This window comes from Homo sapiens, chromosome 10, assembly GCF_000001405.40.
Source record: "Homo sapiens chromosome 10, GRCh38.p14 Primary Assembly".
Classification (NCBI taxonomy): Eukaryota; Metazoa; Chordata; class Mammalia; order Primates; family Hominidae; genus Homo; species Homo sapiens.
The window spans coordinates 44,130,919-44,137,640 of NC_000010.11; the positions used below are offsets into that span (position 1 = coordinate 44,130,919).

A 6,722-nucleotide genomic window follows, 5' to 3' on the forward strand; every position below is an offset into this window, starting at 1 on the left:
CTGAGAGGAAATTTATGGAATTAAAGGCTAATGTTGGAAAAGAAGAAAAATTTCAAATAAATAATCTAAGATTTTATCTCCAGACTCTAGGAAAAGAAGTATAAAATAATCCCAAAGCAAGCAGAAGCAAGAAAATAATGAAGATAAGACCAGAAATAAATAAAATTTAAAATATAAAACTAATAGAGAAAAATTGATAAAACCAAAAGCTAGTTCTTTAAAAAGATAAACTTCTAAAAGATCGATGAAGATGAAAGGAGAAGAGGCACAACTTATTAGCATACGAATGAAAGAAGGCATATTGCTACAAACACTGCAGACATTCAAATAATAATGAGAGAATATTATGAACAATTTTATGTTCATAAATTTGACAACTTAAAAGAAATGGACCAATTCCAGCTGGGCATGGTGGCTCATGCCTGTAATTCCAGTGCTTTGGGAGGCTGAGGTGGGCGGACGGCTTGAGCTCAGGAGTTTGAGACCAGTCTGGGCAATATGGTTAAATCCCATTTCTACAAAAAATATAAAAAATTTTCCCGGGGGGTGGTGGCATGCAACTGTAGTCCAAGCCACTCAGGGGCTTGAGAGTGGGAGGTAGAGGTTCCAGTGAGCCAAGGATCACACTATTGCACTCCAGCCTGGGCAACACAGCAAGACGCTGTCTCAAAAAATACATAAATAAAAAAAAATGGACCAATTCCTTGAATACCAAAAATTATCAAAACTCACTCAAAATTAAATAGACAATCTGTATAAAACAAGTTGACTTTGTAGTTGAAACTCTTCTGAAAAAGAATTGTCTAGGCCCAGATAATTTCACTCGAAAATTTGAATAAATATTTTAAGAAGAAATACATAAGACCAATTTTACTCAATCTCTTTCATAAAATAGAAGAGGGGAGAACACGTCCAAATTCATTTTATAAATGGTGACAACCATCTATAAAACGACCCAAAGGTTATTCCCTGGGGAATGAGACAAGGACAAGAAATCTCTCTCTCTGTCTCTCCATATATATATATATATATATATATAAAATCTTAAGCCTTTTTTGGAGGGCAGAGTAATTTGATTTTTAATTATGTACATGCATTACCTTGATTATAATGTGATTAAATATAAGTATCCTGGTTGCAGGCCTGAGAAACATCCAGCATAAATGTCAGCTCTCTTGCCCCATGGACTCTACCCTGGAAGCCCCGTAACCTGGCTGTCATTTTCTCTTTTCTCATCTTAAAATCTCTTTATCTCCCAACAACTGCAGAGCTGTCTCAGAGTACTTTCCACTGCAGGTCATTTGACTTGTCTCTTCTCAGCTTTCTCTCTCTCTTTTTTTTTTTTTTTTTGTTTGCTAATTTCCCCTAAAGGAGGTCCTTGGTCCACCAAATTCATGTGAGTTCAGAGTTTTTTTCCACAATCAGCCTCAGGAGAACAATCAATGAGGTCTTAGAAAAGAATTCACATCGAGGAAATCCCCTTTGAGCTGACTGCATGAATTCCAGTTCCGTTCGTGATTTCATGCTTGCCAAGCACCAAGAGTGTATCAGGGGACTCATAGAGAGGGCAGTTGGGGCACACATGGGAGGTCATGACACCATGAATTGGGAAACTGCACTGGCCAGCGGTGTGACTGACCTTGGGAAAGTGTCCATTTCGGGTAGGTGAGAGGGGCTGCGCCATGCTATGCAACCCACTTGGGAGGATTATGAAAGTTTGGGGGCAGCATGGAGTTAAAAGTTCTCAGACATGAGATAATCCCATGGCCATTGCTCAACCTGGATGGAGCCCAGGATAAAGGAGTCAGAACCACATAGAATGGACTGAAGGTCCATTCTCATCTCAGGAAGGAGATCTGGTTGGCAGAAGCGGTCCTTGTGAAGAACAAGATGTTTTTGAAAACACTCTGAGCCACTTGTTCATGCCAGATGTCACTGCATGGATCTCAGCCTTATCCGTAGCCCAATGCAGAGGCTTACCAGCCCTTTCAGAAACCTTGGTACAGGTGGCTGTTTTTGACACACTGAAATGTGCAGTGACAGTAGCAAAGATTGGGGGTGGTCTGGCTGATTTCACATCTGAGGGCTGATTTCTCCCATGTTTGGTCAGTGTTTGGGCATAATCCGAGGCACCTCAAGCCTTGCTCAGGCATTGCTCTATGGGAACAGAACATCTGCTACTCACCACAGGCAGCCCAGTGGAGAAGCTGTGAGGTTACTGGGTAGAACCTCTCTTGAGGGGTCTGCTGTGAGCCCCTGAGCACCCAGAAGGCACAGCACAGAGAGCAGCACAGGCAGGACAAATCTTGTCTCCAAAGGGCCCTGCCTAGGCCCTGCAGCGCATACAAGTTCGATCAGATTTGAGAAAACAGTAGACAGGCTCTGGTAGAGCAGCAAAGACCTGCAGAATCAACCACTTTCTTCCTCCTGAAGCACAGACATTGGAGTAGTCTCTACTCCAAAGGCCCTCATTTAGGGGAAACTAGGAATAAAAGAGCTGAAATGAGACAGGTCAGATGACCTGTAATTGAAAGGACTGAGACAGCTCCGCAAACAATTATAACAGCAATGTGTATGCCACACTCACTTTAAGCAATGCACTGTTCTGATGGCTGTATGCACCCTGACTATGATCTTGGTCACTCTTACAACAATCCTGGGTTGTTAGTGTCACCATCTGGTAGATAAGGAGACTTAGGTGAACAGGGGCTCAACTTACCACCAATAAGTGGCAGAGCCATGATTCAAATCTGGACAGACTGGTCCCAGCATGCAACCTGGTCTAAACTTCCTCTTTCCTTCCATGAAGCAGTGCCTATCCGGATGTGCCAAGGTCCCTCTCAGCTAATGCCATGGTTTCTTTGTTGTGTGGAATTATCACATGTCTCAACTGAAGCAGTGTTGTGGTCTTTGAAGCACAATTTTAAAAATTATGTGTTTCTGATAATGTCCAGGCATATATATAAAACTTTAACATCAAATGGCATTTAACACCTTTATCTCATCCTTGAGACTTAGACTGAAGCACATTTTTAAGCCTTGCCTATTTGTGTCCTTCCTTCAGTGGACTGAGTTGGGAGTAGAACTCAGAACCCTGAAACCTGAGTGTTCTTAAGAAAAGCTCCAATCCTGTATGAGGTGTAGGTTCCAAAAGATAAGAGCCCCTGAGCTGAGATACAGGGCAAAGGTGTGATCAGGAGAGTGTCAAACACCAAGACAACAGAAACACACATGCACAGTGCTGAAGTAACGAGGAGGAGGAACAGACCGACGATAGATGAGTAAACTCAGAAATCAAGATGGGGGTAATGAGGGAGCCACAGATGAGATGCATGGTTTCCAATGTTCAGTTGGCTCCAGGTTGAGCTCAGAGTGGGCTGCCCTGTGGGACAGCCTTCTTAACATATTATGGTGGGCTGCAACTGGCCACAGCAAACAGGAACAAAATTAAAACACTGTCTTCTTCTCTTCCATTATGATCTGTAGCTTTTCCCCACACTCAGTTGATGCGCCTCAGGGTCTGAGCCTTTCTTTCTCTCTTCCCCTCACTCCTTCACCTCCAGTGCACAACATAATTTTTGGCTCATTGCACTATCATCTTTGGTCAATGCATAACCCTCTTTTATTCATGTGTTCATGTATGTAATTAGCTATATATTTTTGATAATGTAACACCTACGAGATACTGTCCACCACAAAAACTGGGACCTTACCAATAGCCCACAACTGTATTCCACCCCATCCTTTCCACTCATCTCATTCTGACTTTGCTGGGCTCTAAGCACTTTGTCTTTGTGAGTCCCTTCCTTTATTAAAAATTATATTTATATGCATAATTATCATTATATTATTTTTTCTTTATGATTCTAAATGTAACTAAAATTAAAACATTTGTGTGGGACCTTAACATTATCATGGACCCTATGCATTGTTGTGCTTATTGTGTTTAACAGATAAGTTGACCCTGAACCCACCTAGTTTAACCATCTTCCTGTACCTGGTGTTTATTAATACCCTGTTTTCCTTTTAATAAGACTTTATTTACCTATATTAATATAGGTGCATCTGTGCATGTGTGTGTAAATAGTTAATGTACAAAGAGAATGTGGGACATCCAGCAAGTGAAAAGTTTGGAAATCATCCCCTCTATTCTTATAGCAAGAAAAAGCTGTACAAATTGAAAATCAACAGCTTTTCTTACATCTATCATGGAATGGAGGTCATAGGGCAAACTGCCATCCTGAAATGTGCTGGAGGGACCAGCAAATCCAGAGGGTCATAGCCAAGGTCTGCTCACCCAGACCTGAGGCTACTGGGGCCATACACTTGTGGGAGCACTGCAGTGGTAATTTTGATGGATTGCTGGAAACAATGTGGACTAGCATGAGTGGGAAATTCCTGGGGGCACAGTCTTGGGGAAGGGGTGGTCTTCACACTTTTACTGGCTTTATCTTTCATAATCCAACCAGATTCTCATGGTAAAGAGCCAAGAATTATCTCCTCCTGGCTGTGGTAGAGGCAAGAAAAGAGTACTTGTTTAGAAGTATGCCCGGTGAGTTCTCCAAAACAAAGCTTTCTCCAGGGTAAAAGACTTACCAGGGCCTTCTCCCACTGGGGGAAAGGACATTTCTCCAACTCCACTGCCCCTCCCAGCTTTCCTGTATCTCTTAAGAGTAGGGTAGAAGCTAAAAAAAACACTTGTGAAGGCCACAGGCCAGGGACACAGGCACACAACAGACTGAGATTTAATCCTGTAATTACAGAAAGTACCCCATCCCCTAACATACACACCTTACAACCACACCAACAAGGCTCTAGTGTAACAACAGCTAAAGAAACTGCAAGGTTCACACTCTATCAAAGGTGTTCTTTGGGAAGCCCAAATCAACAGTAAGGACAAAAATAAGGAAGGACACTAGAGGAATGGGAAACCTCTGGAACAGGAAGCTACAGCAAACATTAAGGGAATAAAACACCTTGACTTGGTTCCTCCTTCTTGGACCTTCTCTTTTGAAAAGTGAATTTCCCATTAAAAAAAAGGATGGTGTCTCATCCTACCTGATCTATGTAAATCCTCTAGAGCACAGAAACTCTATGGGCTAGAACCAAACACCACTGGTATTTTGTCAACTTGGAAAAGAAACAAAGCTCTGTTAATGAATAGAATTTTCTTAATTTGACATAGCTTGCCCATGAATTTTTCTAAAAGCTTTGTTATCTGATGGTGCTTGCTTGCCTCCATTCTCCTGTAACTTAGTATGTGATTTCAGCCAGGTAAGCATACCGTGGGTGGCCGCATTAGCCAAAATGCACTTCTTAGTATTTATTCAGTCATCTGAACTAGTTTAAAAACAACTTTTGGTGGATGTGCATGAGTGAATAAGAATATTTATTTTGTTAGGTTCTTAACTATCTTTTCCCTTAAGGCAAAAACATGTATTCTGGTCCTTGGGCAAATTAGTACAACAATGGGATTTAGATGAACTGACACTACTTCCTCGTGAGCTCCCCCTTCCTCAGAAGGCACTTGGGAAAGCATGTGAACAAGTTCCTTTACTCAGGATTGTGAGTGGCGAGGCTGCTTGGACCATGATTTCCAGTTTCCAGGACTTGCCCAAGAGGATTCCTTCCCAGCCTGTTGTTGGAGACAAGTGGGATCTTCTTCCTGAGAGAACTGCCTGCTACACCCACTGTCTCCTGCATCATTTTATTCTGAATGTCTCCAGTTATTTCAACTATCTTGGGAAGGACTCTGGGAAAATGAAAGCTGTGTATGTCACCTATGAGTTTCTTACAACAGGAACCATGTTCTACCCTGCATTGATGGCTAATTGATTAAAAATGGTGCAAATGCTGCTGTGATCTTGGTAAATCCTTCTCAATAGAACTTGTTTTTGGTTTTTCACCAATATGTGAATGACACATGTCACTGAGACAGTGACTGGAGTTGATTACCAAGGATTGTGAATAAAATATTTTTTCAAGATGCCCATTCTCTTATAGGATTTGCATCCCAAAACCCCAGTTCTCAGGGTAAGAAACATACTTTGCTGAAAGACATTCAAAATTCCAGTACAGAGCTCCATTAACTAGCTGGATGAATAGCAAAGATTCAGCATCCACTGTGTGTGAATTACGTCTAGAAAGATTCTCATCCCTACCCTCATGAAGATCATAATCTGGTGGAAAAGCTGAGGCACGTTCAAGGAAAAAATCCAGGGGATGCATGAAACTGACAGGCAAACAAGCAGTTCATGGATGAGGAAACCCACCAGGCATTATTAATACAGGTTGGGAGGGAGGAGCCAAGATGGCCGAATAGGAACAGCTCTGGTCTACAGCTCCCAGCGTGAGTGACGTAGAAGATGGGTGATTTCTGCATTTCCAACTGAGGTACTGGGTTCATCTCACTGGGGAGTGCCAGACAGTAGGTGCAGGACAGTGGGTGCAGTGCACCGTGAGTGAGCAGAAGCAGGGCGAGGCATCACCTCACCTGGAAAGTGCAAGGGGTCAGGGAATTCCCTTTCCTAGTCAAAGAAAGGGGTGACAGACGGCATCTGGAAAATCTGGTCACTCCCACCCTAATACTGCGCTTTCCCAATGGGCTTAAAAAATGGCACACCAGGAGATTATATTCTGCACTTGGCTTGGAGGGTCCTATGCCCACAGAGTCTCACTCACTGCTAGCACAGCAGTCTGAGATCAAACTGCAAGGCGGCAGC

General features: G+C 42.5%; 2 annotated features.

Annotated features, from left to right (window-relative positions):
- Positions 2,444–2,613: an enhancer, noted in NCBI's record as "experimental_12798 CRE fragment used in MPRA reporter constructs". NCBI's record gives its function as "activates a minimal promoter by MPRAs in K562 erythroleukemia cells, with activity observed for the non-introgressed 10:44628895 variant allele {active_cell/tissue: K562}" and the evidence as "EXISTENCE:reporter gene assay evidence [ECO:0000049][PMID:34662402]".
- Positions 2,901–3,070: an enhancer, noted in NCBI's record as "experimental_12804 CRE fragment used in MPRA reporter constructs". NCBI's record gives its function as "activates a minimal promoter by MPRAs in K562 erythroleukemia cells, with activity observed for both the introgressed and non-introgressed 10:44629352 variant alleles {active_cell/tissue: K562}" and the evidence as "EXISTENCE:reporter gene assay evidence [ECO:0000049][PMID:34662402]".